The sequence below is a fragment of the Homo sapiens genome, chromosome X (assembly GCF_000001405.40).
Source record: "Homo sapiens chromosome X, GRCh38.p14 Primary Assembly".
NCBI lineage: Eukaryota > Metazoa > Chordata > Mammalia > Primates > Hominidae > Homo > Homo sapiens.
This window is the reverse complement of record NC_000023.11, coordinates 150894845-150912468: the sequence shown is the minus strand read 5'-3', so window position 1 is coordinate 150912468 and position 17624 is coordinate 150894845. Positions and strand designations below refer to the sequence as shown.

The following is a 17624-nucleotide window of genomic DNA, read 5'->3' as shown; positions in this document are numbered from 1 at the left end:
CTACATTTGTCCTCCAAAGGCTTCAAGAAAGAGGTGCATCTTGATCCAGGGCTCAGGGGACATTCGCATTTGGGTGCCAGAATGCAAAGGCTTAAGAGACAGTGCAACAGGCAATGGAAACCACATAGCAAAGGCAAGAAGGCAGAAAGGCATGAAGCCCACTCAGAAAACAGTGAGGTCACCTATTAGGCCAGATGTACTGAGGTAGGAAAAGCTCGGCATTGAATGCCAGGCCAAGGCATGTTGCCTGATCCTGTAGGCAATGGGGAGATAGGGGATATTATATCAAAAAAGGAAAGGATCAAGGTGATGGACACTCTAAAGGGCGAGGTACCACTGAGCCAGCAGGGGAAATCAATCTGCCTTCTGATGACAGACACGCAAGTGAGCAATTCTGGGGCTCTAACAGAGACCAGCCACAGAGTGCACGAACGTACAAGATGGCAAATGTCACCCTCAAGGTCTTGTTATATCTGGACGGGGGCCAAAAAGAAGTGTCAGGAAGTGGAGACCTGAGATCAGAAATGGGCTGGATATAGAGGACGATAGAGCTAGAAGAGCCAGGCGTGGTGGCACGCGCCTTACTACCAGCTACTCAGGAGGCTTAGACACAAGGATAGCTTGAGCCTAGGAGTTTGAGGCTGCAGTGAGCTATGATCATGCCACTGCACTCCAGCCTGGATGACAGAGCAAGACCCTGTCTCTAAAAATAATAATAATAATAATAATAATAATAATAATAATAATAATAATAATAAATAGGCTGGACATGGTAGCTCATGCCTGTAATCCCAGCACTTGGGGACGGCGAGGCAGGAGGATCACTTGAGCCCAATAGTTTGAGACCAGCCTGGGCAACATAGCTGGGCTTGGTGGCGTGTGCCTCTAGTCCCAGCTACCCTGGAGGCTGAGGTAGGAAAATCAATTGAGCCCAGGAGGTCAAGGCTGCAGTGGGCCATGACCACACCACTGCAGTCCAGCCTGGACCACAGCAAGATCCTGTCTCAATAAATAAATAAATATATGAGTGAATGAATGAGAAGAAATAAACGGAGATGGACAGGTGTGCGGGAATCTCTTTCTCTTTAGGACTCTGCCTATGCATAAAGAAAAGTGTGAAAGCCAGATTCAAGGGAGACTGTGAAGAGAGGTTTCAGGGAGCCTGTCACCAGTGAGGCTGGCCCCCAAAGTCCTTCCAGTGCATTCCAGAGGCATTCACCAGAGGCAGGGCGAGGCACAGGAGATGTGCTATGGGCCAAGCAAGTGGTGAAAACGAAGATTCTACCCGACTGCCCTGAATCTGGGGAGGGCAGCCTTCCATTTTCTTTTCTAAAATGCATGCCTTAGGAGGTAACATTTTTTAACAGTTTTTTTTTTAATGTGGTAAAATATACATAGCATAATATTTATCATTTTAATCATCCGTAAGTATACAGTTCAGTGGCATTAATTAAATCCTCAATGTTGTATACTCATAACCACTATCTTTATCCAAAACTTTTATTATCATCCCCAACATAAACCTTATACTCATTAAATAATAAGTTCTTCCCCCTTCCTCCCATCTCACAATAACCTTTATTCTACTTTCTGTCTCTAAGAATTTGCCCATTCTGAGTATCTCGTATAAGTGGAATCATACAATACTTGTCCTTAAGTGTCTGGCTTATTTCACTAAGCATGTTTTCAGGGTTCATTTATGTTGTAGCATATATCAAAATTTCTTTCCTTTTCATGGCTGAATAATATTTTATTGTGTGTATATACCACATTTTGTTTATCCATTCACCTGTCAATGGATACTGGAGTTGTTTTCACCTTTTGGCTATTGTAAATAATGCTGCTATGAACATGCCCTGCTTTCAATTATTTTGGTTATATACACAGAAGAGGCATTGCTAGTAATTGTTTAATTCTTTGATAAACCACCATGTTGTTTTCTATAGCAGCTGTACCACTTTACATTCCCACCAGAAATGCATGAGGGTTCAAACTCCTCCACATTCTTGCCAACTCTTGTTATTTTCCATTTCTTTTAAAATTATAGCCATCCCACGGCCGGGCATGGTGGCTCACGCTTGTAATCCCAGAACTTTGGGAGGCCAAGGGGGTTTGGATTCCCTGAGGTCAGGGGTTCGAGACCAGCCTGACCAACATGGTGAAACTCCATTTCTACTTAAAAAAAAAAAAAAGCTGGGCGTGGTAGTGGGCTCCTATAATCCCAGCTACTTGGGAGGCTGAGGCAGGAGAACCCCTTGAACCTGGGAGGCAGACGTTGCAGTGAGCCGAGATTGTGCCACTACACTCTAGCCTGGGTGAGAACAGCAAGACTCTGTCTCAAAAAAATGATAAAAGAAAAAAAAATCATAGCCATTCCAGTAGGTGTGAAGTAGTATCTGACTGTGGTTTTGATTTGCACTTCCCTCATGATTAGTTATGTTGACCATCTTTTCATGTGCTTGTTGGCCATTTATATGTCTTCTTGGAAGAAATGTCTATTCCAGTCCTTTGTCCCTTTTTAAATTTTTTTGTGGAGACAGGGTCTCACTATGTTGCCCAGGCTGGTCTTGAACTCCTGGCCTCAAGTAATCCTCCCACTTTGGCCTCCCAAAGTGCTGAGATTACAGGCATGAGCCACTGTGCCCAGCCTGTCCATTTTTTAATTGGAATTTTTCATTGTTGAGTTATAGAAGTTCTTCATATTAATCCCTTATCAAATATATGATTTGCAAATATTTTCTCCCATTCTGTAGTTTGTTGCCTTTTCACTCTGTTGATAACATCCTTGATAGCACCCTTTTAAATTAAATTAAATTTAATTTAATTTTTATTTTTTAGAGATAAAAAATAAAAACAGGGTCTCGCTTTGTTGCCCAGGCTGGATTGCAGTGGTGCAATCATGGCTCACTACAGCCTTGAACTCCTGGGCTCAGGCTATCCTCCTATCTCAGCCTCCTGAGTAGCTAGGTGATATGCTTTAGATGTTTGTTCCTTCCAAATCTCATACTGAAATGTGACGCCCAATGTTGAAGGTGGGTCCTGGTGGAAGGTGATTTGATCGTGGGGACAGATCCTCATAGATGACTTAGCACTATCCCCTTGGTGATAAGTGAGCTCTTGCTCAGTTCACACAAAATCTGGTTGTTGAAAAGTCTGGTACCTCCCCCTCACCTCCTTCTCATCCTGTGAGATGCCTGCTCCTGCTCTGCCTTATGCCATGACTGTAAGCTTCCTGAGGCCCTCAGAAGAAGCCAAGCAGATGTCGGTGCCATGCTTGTACAGCCTGCAGAGCCATGAACCAATTAAAGTTCTTGTCTTTATAAATTACCCAGTCTCAGGTATTCCTTTATAGTAATACAAGAACAGCATAATACACTGAGACTACAGGTGCACACTGCAACACTCAACTAATTTTTTAAATTATTTTTAGGAATGGAGTCTCGCTATGTTGTCCAGGCTCATCTTGAACTTCTGGCCTCAAGCAACCCTCCTGCCTCAGCCTCTTAAGTAGCTGGGATTATAGGTACAAGCCACCACACCTAACAACAGTATCTTTGATGTACAAAAATTTTCAATTTTGATGAAATCTAATTTATCTATTTTTTTTTCCTTTCTTGCTTGTACTTTTTTAGTGTCATATCTATAAGCTTGTTGTTAAATCCAATGTCATAAAGATTTTCCTCAATATTTTATTCTAAGAGTTTTATGGTTTTAGCTCTTAAGTTCAGGTCTTTGATCTATTTTGAATTCCATTTTGTATACAGTGTAAGATAAGGTTAATGTGGGTTTTTTGTACATCCTCTTTTTTTTTTTTTTCTGTCTTATGAGAAGTAAGGGGTTGAAATGATCCAGTACTAGGCATTGGTTCCAAAGTCACTAAAGAACTAGTTAAGGGGGACACTGGTCTCATGGCATGAGAGTGGGCCTCAGCTTTTTCATCTGTAGACTGGGAATAGTATTGCCCCCTGGAGTGGGTTGAATAGTGTCCCCTAAAATTCATGTCCATCAGGAACCTCAGAATGTGACCTTATTTGGAGACAGGATCTTTGCTGATGTAATTAAAAATCTTGAAATGAGATCATACTCGATTTAGCATGGGTCCTGGTGACTTTATAAGAAGGCCAAGTGAAGACAGAGGCAGAGATTGGAGTGATGCAGCTACAAGGGTGGACATGCCAAGGACTGCCTGACAGCAGAAGCTGGAGGAGGCAAGGAAGGATTCTACCCTAGAGGAAGCATGGTCCTGGTGACACTTTGATTTTGGACTTTCAGCCTCCAAAACTGTGAGAGAATAAATTTCTGTTGTTTTAAGCCTCCACATTTGTGGTAATTTGTTGCAGCAACCATAGGAAACTAATATACGCCCTCATGAAGTATTGCAATTATTATTATTATTATTTTTGAGACAGCGTCTCACTCTGTCACCCAGGCTGGAGTGCAATGGCGCGATCTAGGCTCACTGCAACCTCCGCCTCCTGGATTCAAGCGATTCTCCTGCCTCAGCCTCCTGAGTAATTGGGATTACAGGCGCCCACCACCATGCCTGGCTAATTTTTGTATTATTAGTAGAGACAGGGTTTCGCCATGTTGGTCAGGCTGGTCTCGAACTCCTGATCTCAGATGATCCACCCACCTCAGCCGCCCAAAATACTGAGATTACAGGCGTGAGCCACTATGCCTGGCCGAAGTATTGAAATTATTAAGTATGAGATTTGTCAAGTGTTTATCACAGTGTTGGGCACATTGCCCAGGGCTTCTCGGGTCTCACTCACTGCTGCCTACATCCATGACACAAAGCAGACCCAGCCATCACCTGCCAGTGTGCCCTCCCCAGCCCCACAAGTTCTCTGAGGTCTTGTTGGCTTAAACAGCAGGTGCCTGGCACATCTGTCTTTCTATTAGAGAGAGTGGGGTTGGCTGGACATTAGTTTGAGCCCGGGGTTGGCCGCTGACTTGCCAGGTGACCTGGCTAAAGTCAGTTTCCTTCTCTGAATATTACTGCATCTGTAAGATTGCAGTAATGATAGAAATGGTGCCATCCTCCGTGGGTTGCCGGGAGGATTTGACAAGGTAATGCAGGTGGCAGTGCTCGATACTGTGATCATCAGAGAGCTTGAAACCTTAGAGATAGTCTTATCCAACCAACTCAGTTTACAGAATTTAAAAAAAAACAAGCCCCAGGGAAGAAGAGTGACTTGCCCACAGCCACGAAGTGATCTACTAATACCTCCCCTGTCCCACTGACATCCAAATGAGAGAGGGAAAGTGCCTTAGCTGCTGAACACTGGAACCCACAGATCCACCCCCAGTAGTACTTCCCCAAGCTCCAGAGAGGCAGCCCTGGAAAAGAGTGGGTTTCCAGCAGTCAAGTTGAAGAAAGTATTTCAGGCAGTAGAGAGTGATCAACCATGCCCACCACTGCTGAAAGATCTAGTAACAAGAGGACTGAGAGTGGACAAAGGTAGGGGCCAGCAAACTTTTTCTGTAAAGGACCAGATAGTGAATATTCAGCTTTGAGGGCCATACAATCTGTTGCCTCTCCTCGACTCTGACCTGGTAGCACACAAGCAGTTATAGACAGTATGTAAACAAGTGGGTGTGACTGCGTGCCAATAACACTCTACGGATACTGAAACTTTTTTGTTTTGTTTTTTTGTTTTTTGGTTACAGGGTCTCACTCTGCTGTCCAGCCTGGAGTGTAGTGGCGTGATCGTGGCTCCCTGCAGTCTTGACCTCCGGGGCTCAAGTCATTCTCCTGCCTCAGCCTCCCAAGTAGCTGGGGCTACAGGTGCACACCACCATGCCTGGCTAACTTTTTATTTTTTGTAGAGATGAGATCTTGCTATGTTGCCTAGGCTGGTGTGGAATTCTTGGGCTCAAGTGATCCTCCCACCTTGGCCTCTCAACTTAAATACTAAAAAGTAAATGTCACATCATTTTCATGTGTCACAAAATATTCTTCGTTTTTATTTTTCTCAACCGTTCTTTGTTTAGGGGTCACATGAAAACAGGCAGTGGGCGGGACTTGGCCCACTGGCCTTAGTTTGCCCAGCCATGGTCTCAGCTTTTAGATGGATAGGAATGCCTTATCCTACCTCAGGCCAAGTACATTGAAAACTTGGAGAGTAGAGCCCTGGCAAACGTGGTTTTCAAAGCTTCCCTGATACCCAGCAATTCATGTGTATACCCGAGAGAAATAAAAACACATGTCCACCAAAAAGCTTGTATGTACATCCGTGTTCATAGCAGCATTGCTCACAATAGCCCCAAATTGGAAACAACCCAAATATCTGTCTACTGATGAATGGATCAACAAAATGTGGTATTATTATACAATTGAATAGTATTCAGCCATAAAAGACATGAAATTCTGATACATAGTAGAACATGAACGAGCCTCAAAAACATTACGCTCAGCAAAAGAAGCCAGACACAAAAGGCCACATAGTGTATGGTTCCATTTATACAAAATGTCCACAATAGGCAAAATCCATAAAGACAGAAAGATTAGTGGTTGCCCGGGGCTGGGGGAGGGCTAATGGGGAGTGACTGCTTAATGCGTCTGGGATTTCCTTTTGGGGTGATGGGAATGTTCTAGAACTAGATGGAGGTGATAGTTGCACAATATTGCAAATGTAGTAAATGCCACTAAATTGTACACATTTAAAGGTTAATTTTATATTATATGAATTTTACCTCAATTTAAATGAAAAAAAAAAAAAAAAAAGCTTCCTCAAAGATTCTGTCATGCTGCTAGGGTTGAGAAACAGGACCAGTGTGAGGAGACAGCAAATTGCAAAGCAAGTTGAACTCACATCTGGATTCAAAGCTCAGTGTTAAGGTGGACTCAGCATAGGGTCTGTGAGGGTAGAAGGCATGGGTCCTGAGCCTTTCCTAGGCTGGGAACAGTATGTTCTTTTATGGCATGAGGGATAAACTGGGAACGGCCAGGTGAAGGAAGGAAGGGAAGTTATTCCAGACAGGTGGAGTGGTGGGGTCAGGGAGGTGACGGTTGTGGGGCGGGAGGCAGTGTAGAAGGGAAGCTGGAATGAGTTGAAGAATTAAATAGGGAGGCAGGGGCCTGATCAGATCATGTGGGGCTGTGTAGACCATGAACAGAAATTTGGATTTACTGTGAGTGAGATGGAAGGCCTGGGACATGAGACTAGAGGGTTTTAAGCAAGGGAACAACATGATCTGATTTACTTTTTAAGAAGCTTCCCGTGGTTGCTGGGTAAAAAAAACGGGCTGGAGGAGGCTGTTGTGCAGTTATTCAGGGCAGGGATGAGTGTACACATTCAAGACTTTAGGAGACACAGTTCTCAGGATTTGGTAATGGAGTGAGTGAGACCAGGGGAGGGGGGAACTTCTGCCTCCAAGGTTTAGGCCCTAGCAACTGGGAGATTGGTGGTGCCATTTACTAAGATAGGAGAACACTTGTGGGAGGAGCAGAGTGGTTTGGAGGCCAGCAATGGGCAGTTCTGTTTTGGACATCGCAATATGTCTGCAAAAGTTATTTTTGAACAAAATGTTATTGCTGTTAATTGGATGCCCCATTCCACATTTGTGTTCCGAAACATTTTCTGGGAGGTTTCTTGGGCTGCTTCAATTATATGAAAAGACTTAATTCAAAGAGACCAAATGTTGGTTTCTGTGGTTTGAGTCCCCTGAGTGCTTAGGGGAGACTTCACTGGGTAAGTTAAATACAGCCCTACTCTGCATTTGGGAGGCAAATGTTAAGTCCCGTTCCTACAGAGGTCAGGGTTTGGAGGAGAAAATACTGCCTCGGAAATATTACAGAGACATACGTTATTTCTTGCCAAGTGCTTATGCAAATTCCATATTAACTCGACTGAGCACTAGAAAGAAATTTACAGAGCAGTCTCTCACATTAGGAAAACATGCAGGTATAAGGTTTTGCCCTGCCTGACTTGGCACACACAGGCTTCCTGAAGATGGCTGGGTGTTCTGCATTTAGATTTCCAAGGAAGAGGACGCCTTCCCGTGATAATGAGCCTTAAAACGAAGTCGTGACCCACCGGCCTTTGGCATCGTCTTCTTTTCTTTTGGGATCATAGTCACCATGGCCATAATTGCCAATATCATCACTATCGTGTGGTCGTTGGTGTGTTAAGAAAATTCCTCAAACCACCAATGGGAATCCTAACAGGAATCAAAAAAGATGAGATGATTCCTATCTCATTGAAATTTGTTGCATTACATTACAGAGGGTCCCCTTTGGGAGTGAGCAACTCTGCTGCATGTAAGACAGGAGTGATTGGTGGTGGTGGTGGTGGTAGGGGGTGCTGCTCTGCAGAAACATGGCAATGGAAGATGACCCTGCTGTCTGTGAAGCCGCTGCTCCTGACCCACCACACTGGGCTGTTTCTGGGACAAGCAGGCAGAGCAGGAGAGTCTCCACGCCACCTCGCCCTTCCTCCTGAGCCCAGCCAAAGCATTCCCGGGACTTCTGCACTGCCTCCTCCCTCTCCTTCCCCACCTCTGTCTCTTCTCCACTCTCCCCAGCTTTTCACTCTAATGGCTCCTGTCACCTAGAGCAGCATTTTCTGGGTTCTGTACAACAGAGTCCTGAGACTCCATGGATAAATGAAATCATGGAACGTCAATCTGATCTTATCACCCGGCAGTACCACCCCATCCCCACTTAACACTCCTGGGGGTTCATGGTTGCCTTTGAGTACAGTCCGATCTTCACCCGGTCTGCAAGTCCTGTGTGACCTGGTTCCAGCCAATTCGATTCGACGTGTTGCCCTTCCTCTCATTTCAGCGGTTCTCTCAGAACACCCTGCCGTCTGCAGGCCAAACCATTATTTCTTTGAGTCAGCTCTACACTGACCATGCACTGGGAGAGGGGCTGCACCTCCGTGTTCCCATCACACTGTGTGCTCAACTCTTTAACCACCTGCATCACACAGAGTAATAATTGCCTATCATCTGTCTCCGCCCTTGGACTTCCTTTTCTTCCCAGCCCTGAGAATTGGGCCAGGCCTACATACCCAGGCCCTCTTTTCTATGGCAATTGCTACCTCCACCACGTCCACACCAGGAATCCAAACTCCTCTCTCCAGCCCCACAGTCCCCAGCCTCTCTCCCTACATGATGCCAGTAGCACTCCTGTAGACCAGTTCCCTGTCGCTGCTGCTTCATGCTTAAAAGCGTTCAGTGGCTCCTCCTCTGTTTTCAGAACCAAATCTTTGCTCATTAGCATGGCATTCAAAGCCCTGCCTGTCCTTGCCATACTGTAAAATCCAAGAGAGGAGAGAATAAGAAGGCTGTGGAGAGGCGGAGGAGACTAAGGGATAATGTGCTTACGACTCAAAAAATATCAGAGGAAACATTGTTTTAGAATGCATTTTCAGGGCTTCTGTTTACATATGGGGTGTGTTCCAAAAATTCCTATGTATCTGGGCCTCGGTGGGCTGAATATTATTGGGATAGCCAGCGGTTCCCAGACTTGTGAACTTCACCAATGAGTAGATTTCTTTTCTTTTTTCAGTTTGGGGACGGGTAGGGTTGCCAACTTCTTATTTTGCAAAGTAAGCATATTAAACAAAACACTACCATCTTTTCATGAAATAAAAGGACTTTTGTATACCAAAACAAGTTCATGATTTCAAGATAAAGGTCAATACTCTAGCTTTATGGGGGGAAACTTGCCACGACAACCTCATTTTTTTGTATTTCTCCTGGGACTGGTGAAACTTGACTGTGAAGTCAGGCATTTGGGAAAATTGCTGTAGAGCCCCATGCGCCCCTCCCCCCAGCCAGCCAGGGCTGTTTGCATGCCCATTGAGATGCAAGTGAGTCTTTGTCTCTTAATTGCCCCGCACAGTGGGGAGTGAGGTGGGAAGGGAGGGTGTGCTGTCCCTTTGTACCCAGCCAGGGCCCTCCAACAGGTTTGGTTAGAGGGATTAAGCTCCAAGGCTGTGGGAGGGTAGACGAAGCCCTGAGCACCAGCAGAGCTGCTTTGGGTCCCAGGGCACAGAAGGTGACCTTGAGTTGGGGCAAAGCCTTTGGTCCCTGCCCTCATTCCCATGTGGACTCCCTCTCGGCTCTGGTCCCTAAGGATCAATGGCGGGGTGGGTATTCAGGAAGGGGTGCTGTCAGCATGGACAGTGGTGCTCTCCTGATGGGCATCTTCAGCAGTGGTGGGGGTGGTGGCAAGGCCCTTCCACAGCTGATTTTGATCATGGGTGAGGGAGGCCACCCAGGTACTCAGATAGCTGATTTGGAATTTATTATTATTTTGTATTTTTCTGTGCTCTGCACATTCAGAGGACATTCTCTAGTAATGTACTACAGAAACAATTCCTGAAAGTATAGTCTTTGTCCCCAAAGTATATACCATGTGTGGGGGCGGGGAGCACGGATAATGGCTTTGAAAAATTTTTTTTTAATAATAATATTTTTTTTCTCCTGGGAAATACACTTCCAAACTAAGTTGGGGAGGTGCTCCCAGATCATGGTTTTTAAGTGCACAATTTCCTGTATGCAAACCCATGACCCATGGATACCTAGCTGGCCCACATAATCCTATTTACCTGAGATTGGTGTAAACCCACCCAGCCCTATATGTGTGCCTCTCCTGTTTTCCCAGGCCACCCTGGTGGCTGTTTATCCATGCCACACTGGCCACAGCTTGGGAAAGGTGGACATTTTTAGGAGAGAATCTTGTCAGGCCAAATGGTTTTCCAATTGATGGCAGTTTTCAGGGTATGAGAAGTTCAGGGAGGAACTAGGTGTAGCAAGAGGGTGGGAACAAGGGAGTGGTGTGTAGACGAGGCAGGCTTGGGCAAGAGTGGGTCCCTGAACCCATGTGCATTGGCAGTGGGGAGTATAGATGATGTGTGGGGGCGGGGAGCACAGATAATGGCTTTGAAAAAATTTTTTTAATAATAATTTTTTTTCTCCTGGGAAATACACTTCCAAACTAAGTTGGGGAGGTGCTCCCAGATCATAGTTTTTAAGTGTACAATTTCCTGTATGTAAATCAACTGCATGTTTAATTGCAATTCAGCAGGATAGCAGTACCTGACTGAGAGGCTCACTAAGTTCCCAGCAGGTCTTCAGTCTGGCAGGCAAATCAGCCCTCTCTAACTCACATTAACCTAACTTACAAGAGACTGAGAGACAAACCAGGCCCAAGATAAGCTATTTTACAAAGGGAGAGGTATCTGGTAGGATAATCCATCTCGGACATTTGCAATATTTTGATTAAGGAACTATTTGTGAGTATCTTTTGGCCACAATGATAAACATTGTCCTTTTCTTTTGGTTCTTATTCCTGTGTCAGAGCAGGTCATCTATGTTCATTTTGCGCTTTAGAGGAGCACACTCTTAAGGTCCCATATCATCACCTGCTAATGTTCATCCTTGCCATGGTTCAATCTGCTAGAACGGAGGTCAGTAAACTTTTTCTGTAAGGGTTAGACAGTAAATATTTTAGGCTTTGTGTGCCCCATGGTCTCTATCACAACTGTTCAACTCCACTGTGGCAGCACAAAAGCCACCATAGGGAATACAAAAATCAATGGGCGTGGCTGTGTTCTCATAAACTTCATGAACCCTGAAATTTGAATGTTGTATCACTTTCTCATGTCATAACATTCTTTTGATTTTTTTCAACCATTTAAAAATGCAACCACTACTTTTAGCTGGAAGGCTGAACAAACAGGTGGGAGTAGGATTTAGCCCACGGGGTGTAGTTTGAGAACTATTCTTGAGCTAGAAGACAGTCTTATTGCATATGGCATTGTAGCACCTTTAGCAGCTAGAGTTCCAGTTGAGTGTGACTGTCCACTGCATATTGATTGACATGGCCTCAAACTTAAGAGGTTACATGCTTCTCACCTCCTCAGTGTAGATGAGTGTGTATGCATCAGGGTTTACCCATCAGATCCTGGAAGACTCCTAAAGACCAGAAAATCTACTGCCCTCCAGGTACAGATGGTACCACCAGGGCCTATGGAATGGCTCAGGGCACTTAGTAGCAAAGGTGGGGGCATGTCCACAGCCTGGAATAGACAGTAACCTCCTGACCTCACAGTGGCCACTATTTCCTTAGCCGTTACTAGATTAACCAGTAATGGTCCCTGCCCTCTGTCACTGTGTGCAGGCTGTCCACTTTTCACCACCTCATTTAATCCTTAGCACAACCTTGTTGGGTTTAGCCAGGATTTGTACCCGGTCTGGCTCTACAGCACACATTCTTAGCCATTCACCAGCTGGGGTTCCTAGTGGTACCCTCCCCCTTTGACACATGAGACTAGACCTGGCTAACTCCCCAACCTCAAGGAACCTCCATTTTGCTGCTTTTCCCTCGTTAATAGGTGATGATACATAAGGCATTGTGAGGAATAAAAATTAAGGGTAAAATGCCTGGAATATGCCATGTGTATAGTGTGTGTTCAATAACTACCAGCTATTTCTGTTAATTCTACAGCTAGAATGGAATAATGTTCCATTCATAGAGTAATTAATGCCCTGAGCCTGGGAAGATCCACTCCTCATATGCTGTTTTGTTTCTGCAGCCCTAAGATTCAGGGCAATGGATGTAAGCCACACGGGAGATTTCGGCTCCATCTCAGGGAGACCCCACACCCCACTGTTCCTTAGGGGTTGGTGGGAGCCACTGAGGGGGGTGCCTATGGCAGCGAGGGCTGGGTTGGGGGCACAGGAAAGCTGCCGAATGGATATTGAGGGGAGGTGGTAGTAGCCGCCCTCTAAGGAGGATGTGGCCCTGGGCAGCCGGTGCCGCATAATGGCAGGGACAGGCTCACGCTACCACTCCGGAGAGCAGTAGCGCTTCCTCTTTGTCTTCGAGAGCCGGTTGCAGCTGGGGCTCTTCTAGGGAGCGTTCCCATCAACTGCTGCAGCGGGCATTTTGCTGGTCGGCACAGTATCGTATCGGAATCTGATTTCTTCGGGTCTGGGAGACGGACTCCGTTTGCGGGGGTTCATGGGAAAGGACTGCAGCGCGTTTGTCGGTCATTAAGCACGTTTTTGAGATCGACTCTGCAGATATGAACTTGCACTTTCAGCGCATTCATCAAAGCCTCGGGAGAGCTGACCCAGTCCCTACCCCCAGTCTCCCGAGCCCGCGGCGCTTCGGCTCCGGGACGCCCCCATCCTCCCCTGTCGCCCACCCGGGCGCCCCCGGCCTCGTTTTCTCGAGACGTGTCACTGCTTGTTGACCGCAGCCAGTCACGAAAACGGTCCTTTTCTTCAGTCTCCGGCCAGGGTTTCACTCCTGCAGGGAACAGCGGGTGGGGACAGAGTGCGGGGCTCCGTGCTGGACGGTGTCTGGAGGGGCCCCAAGGGAACAACCCTTCACCGGGAGAACACCAAGGCCAGAAGGGGAAGAGCCCTTCTCAAGGTCACCCGGGAGGAAATCGGCGCCCACCGGCGCTGCCGCCTCCCGCTCCCCGGCACTGGTGACTCACTGCTCCAGGTCCGCGGGGCCACCTCCGAGACTTCGGTCTCGAGGACCGAGGTGGGACAGGGTCTGCGGACCGCGCGCTGCCGCTGGACCCAGCCCAACCCAACCCAGGCCTCCCCACCCACCGGGTGCCCGCAGGCCACGCCCCTCGCCCGGAGCCCCGCCTCCAGAACGCGGCCCCGCCCCCGATACTGCAGCCTCGCCCCGCCCCCCGGCCTAACCCCAGCCCAGGCGCCCTCAGGCGCCGGCTCTCTAGCGCGCCCGACCTCCATCTTCCCGGGGCCGCGCCGCGCGCGCGCGCGGGCTTTGGGCGGGACCCTGCAGAGGCGGCGGGGCTCCTCCTCCCGCTCCTCCTCGGCCTCCCCTTCGGGCGCTCTCGCGCTAACTGTGCTCCTCCGGGGCCCTCCGCCTGCTCCCAGCCATGGTGGCCTGGCGCTCGGCGTTCCTTGTCTGCCTCGCTTTCTCCTTGGCCACCCTGGTCCAGCGAGGTAAGGCGGGCGGGGGGCGCGCGGGGACCGCGCGGGGACCCCGCCTTGTGGGCCCAGGGGTCGCTCTGCGCATGAGCGGCACGGTCCCCGCCTCTCGGGCCTGCGGTGGCTGCCACCGGCCGGCCCGGCTGTGCGAGGCGGAGCGGCGGGGGTCCGAGCCCCGGGCCCGTGGGGGTTGACTCCGCCGCGGTCGGAGTAGCCGGAGAGGAGGGGTGGGTCCCCTCCTGACGCTGGGCTGGAAACAGCGGGATGGGCCCCCTAAAATCCTGAACGAGCAGGTGTACCACTGGTGACAACAGCTGTCCCCAAGAGTTTACCTTTGAGAAAACCTTGAAGAGAGCAGTCATTTTCGAAATTTGCTGCGAGGCCACCGACAGCAGAAGCACCTGGGGAACTTCCTAGGTGGATTCCTAGCCCCTTTCATCGGGATCACAGCGGGCATGGGCTGTGGGGGGGGGGGGGGGGGGTCAGCGAGGCGTAGGTCTAACCAGCTCTCTAGGTGCTTCTGCCGTCCGCTTCAGTTTTTGAGACTTTGGTCATGTTTTGCCAAGGAGCAGGAGAGAGAAATCCCGCTGAATCAAGGAAGCACGTTTCTTAGACCCTCTGCTACTCAAAATGTGGTCCAGGGCCCAGCCGCATAGGCATCACCTGGGAGCTTGTAAGAACTGCAGCATCTCACGCCCCGCCCCCGACCTACTGAGTCTGATTCTGCATTTCAACTAGATCCGCGGGTGATTCTCTGGCACATTCAAGTTTGAGAAGCATCTTAGTAGAATAAATGCAGTCTGTGGTTAAAAATAGGGTCTTAAACATGTACCAACAGAATCTTCTTACACTTATTTATATCCTATGTCCCCATCAGAAAAAGGGATTAAGGGAAACACTGTAATTGAACGTGAATTATGCTCCAAGCTTCCTGACAATAGAAGCGAACCCAGCTGGTGGAAAATATGTGAGCTCAGGAAACACACACACACACACACACACACACACACTTTGTCCTAGTACTGAGTTCTAGTAAGATTTATGTCACATAAAGGAACACTGGAAAACAGTGGATGGTACTAGCCAAGCCACTTTTGCAAAAGATGCAGAAATGTTTTTCATGTGGGCAACCCACCTGGAGTTGATTCACGAAGAGCCATTTAACATTCTGCAGAGGTGCCAGGCTCTGTTCTAGGAACTGATGATGCGGTAGTGAACAAAATTGAGACTGTCTTCATGGAGCTTACATCCTGGTCCGGGCAGAAAACAAGCCCAACATTGAAATCTATATATATTGTCAGTGCTATGGAGAAAAATAAAGGAAGTTACAGGGGTAAAGAGTTGTTGAATTTTCTTTTTCATTTTCCCTTTGGGATAAAATTTTTATTTTGTTTACAATGCATTTGTAGGAAAATGTATGATCATTTGATTGACTTGCATCTAATGACATGGAAATCTTGAAAGTAGAAGCACAAAAAAAGTTAGAAAAATGATACTCCCTTCAAAGCTGTCTTCTGAAAGTCTTCAACATGGTGTGCCCGTTGAGAAGGTGGGGAATAGAAATGATTGGGTCTCAGATTTGCACGTTACAATTGTTGATTTAAGAGGTGGTAGAGGAGACAGAAACAGTACATCTGTTTTATAGATGAGGAAACAGAGGCACAGAGAGGTGAAGTAACTTGCCTTAGGTCACACAGCGATTGCCAGAATTATGATTTGATGCAAGGCTTGTCTGACTGCGCAGTCACTGCCTTTAAGCCCTAGGCATATGCCCTTGCACCTGGAGGTACCCCACTTCGACTACTTAGGGACCATGGGAAAATGAGTTCCCCGAACTTGTTTGATCATCCATATGATGCCTGACAATCACAAAGGTGTTTTGAGGGGACCAGGCTTAGATCTACAGCCTTGCTACCAGCTACCATCTCCTGAGTTCTTCCTGTGTGCCAGGCACTTCACATATATTGCTTTAAATTGCCTCGACAATTTTGCAGGCTAGATATTATCACTGGCTTTCAGATGAGGGGGCCCTGGTCATATAGCTCAGAAGACATAGAGCCAGGATTCAACCCAGATAAGACTGCTACCCAGTTATCTTTTATTGTTTAAATTATTTTTAATTAATTAATTAATTTTTTTGAGACGGAGTCTAGCTCTGTTGCTCAGGCTGGAGTGCAGTGGCCTGATCTCGGCTCACCGCAACCTTCGCCTCCTGGGTTCAAGCAATTCTCCTGCCTCAGGCTCCCAAGTAGCTGGGACTACAGGCATGCGCCACCATGCCCGGCTAATTTTTGTATTTTTAGTAGAGATGGGGTTTCACTGTGTTGGCCAGGCTGGTCTCGAACTCCTGACCTCGTGATCCGCCCGCCTCGGCCTCCCAAAGTTCTGGGATTACAGGCGTGAGCCACCACGCCCAGCTTATTGTTTAAATTAATTAACTGAAACCAGAAGCAGCTTTGGTTTCAAGATAAGGGCCCAGTTTTCTGGATCTTTTTTTTTTTTTTTTTTTTGGAAACAGAGTCTTGCTATGTCGCCCAGACTAGAGTGCAGTGGCGCGATCTCGGCTCACTACAAGCTCCACCTCCTGGGTTCACGCCATTCTCCTGCGTCAACCTCCTGAGTAGCTGGGACTACAGGCGCCAGCCACCACACCGGCTAACTTTTTGTATTTTTAGTACAGACAGAGTTTCACCATGTTAGCCAGGATGGTCTCTATCCCGTGACCTCATGATCCACCTGCCTCGGCCTCCCAAAGTGCTGGGATTACAGGTGTGAGCCACCGTGCCCAGCCAACAGTTTTCTGGATCTTTTGTCCAAAATAAGATAATACGATTTTTGCATTGGTGGTCTTCTCTGGGATCCTGGTAGTCTCAGAGCTGCTGCGTCAAAATGACAAACACAAAGCAAGTGCCTCAGTTAGGCACCAGTTGGCTCTTCTTGGGCCCTGGAGTGGCATTTTGGGTAGGCCTGCTGAGAGCCACTTTATTCTTGGTCCTGGTCCTCAGTAGTGGGATGTGGCTGAGTAACCCTGGCAGACCTCAGAAAGCACACAGAAGCAACTCTGCATAATCTGAGAAATCCTTCCAGGCTCTAGCAAGTAGCAAGTAGAGGCTGGCTTTAGGCTCCCAGGAGTTTAAAGGGCGGTTAACAAGTTATCTTTGTTCTAATTACAGAGGGCTTTTCAGTCTGCTGTGTATTTTACTAGTTCCAAAAAGTCCTCTGAGGACAGGTATGCTGCCTGTATGTGCCTCCAGAAATGGGAAGCTGTTCTTTTGAGCAGCAAGGAGAAGACTGTCAGTGATGTGGATGGGTAGTAATCTTAACAGGAGCTTCATTTCTGGAACACCTATATGCCAGGCCCTCTGCCTCGCCACATTACCCCGACCTGTTGGCACTGTGACCCATATCACCTCCTGATGTCCATAGTGGCCCTTTTACATAGAGTCTTACAGGTAACTGTTTGGTAACCCACTTCTCAGATGAAAAATATGGGGCCCAGAGAGGTTTAGGAACTTAACACTTAGCTGAATTGGATTTGAACTCAGGTTTACCTGCATAACCAGAGCAGAAGGCATGAACACAGATACCTTCAGGGATCATGCAGGTAATAGGAATGTGAGAAGTGGTCAAGAATAAGCATGATGAGGGGGCCGGGCGCAGTGGCTCATGCCTGTAATCTCAGCACTTTGGGA

At 47.5% G+C, this 17624-nt stretch overlaps 1 protein-coding gene and 1 pseudogene across 7 annotated transcripts in view, besides 4 other annotated features; one reads left to right on the top strand and one right to left on the bottom strand.

Annotated features, from left to right (window-relative positions):
- Nucleotides 8583-9268: an enhancer, noted in NCBI's record as "NANOG-H3K27ac-H3K4me1 hESC enhancer chrX:150071674-150072359 (GRCh37/hg19 assembly coordinates)". NCBI's record gives its function as "activates a minimal SCP1, AML or CMV promoter by ChIP-STARR-seq in naive and primed H9 embryonic stem cells {active_cell/tissue: H9 hESC(naive and primed)}" and the evidence as "EXISTENCE:reporter gene assay evidence [ECO:0000049][PMID:30033119]".
- Nucleotides 9269-9953: an enhancer, noted in NCBI's record as "OCT4-NANOG-H3K27ac hESC enhancer chrX:150070989-150071673 (GRCh37/hg19 assembly coordinates)". NCBI's record gives its function as "activates a minimal SCP1, AML or CMV promoter by ChIP-STARR-seq in naive and primed H9 embryonic stem cells {active_cell/tissue: H9 hESC(naive and primed)}" and the evidence as "EXISTENCE:reporter gene assay evidence [ECO:0000049][PMID:30033119]".
- Nucleotides 9954-10640: an enhancer, noted in NCBI's record as "OCT4-NANOG-H3K27ac hESC enhancer chrX:150070302-150070988 (GRCh37/hg19 assembly coordinates)". NCBI's record gives its function as "activates a minimal SCP1, AML or CMV promoter by ChIP-STARR-seq in primed H9 embryonic stem cells {active_cell/tissue: H9 hESC(primed)}" and the evidence as "EXISTENCE:reporter gene assay evidence [ECO:0000049][PMID:30033119]".
- LOC124905297 (uncharacterized) lies at nt 10234-10348 on the bottom strand (annotated as a pseudogene).
- Nucleotides 13517-14126: a silencer, noted in NCBI's record as "silent region_21054". NCBI's record gives its function as "represses an Ori minimal core promoter by ATAC-STARR-seq in GM12878 lymphoblastoid cells {active_cell/tissue: GM12878}" and the evidence as "EXISTENCE:reporter gene assay evidence [ECO:0000049][PMID:35858748]".
- Nucleotides 13801-17624, top strand: part of CD99L2 (CD99 molecule like 2) — a 132333-nt gene continuing 128509 nt past the window's right edge. For all 7 annotated transcript variants that reach the window (NM_134445.4, NM_134446.4, NM_001184808.2 and 4 more), the window contains exon 1: nt 13801-13947. In NM_134445.4, coding sequence (NP_604394.1) covers nt 13881-13947 — 67 coding nt within the window. In that variant the 5' untranslated portion in view covers nt 13801-13880. The remainder of the gene's footprint in view (nt 13948-17624) is intronic.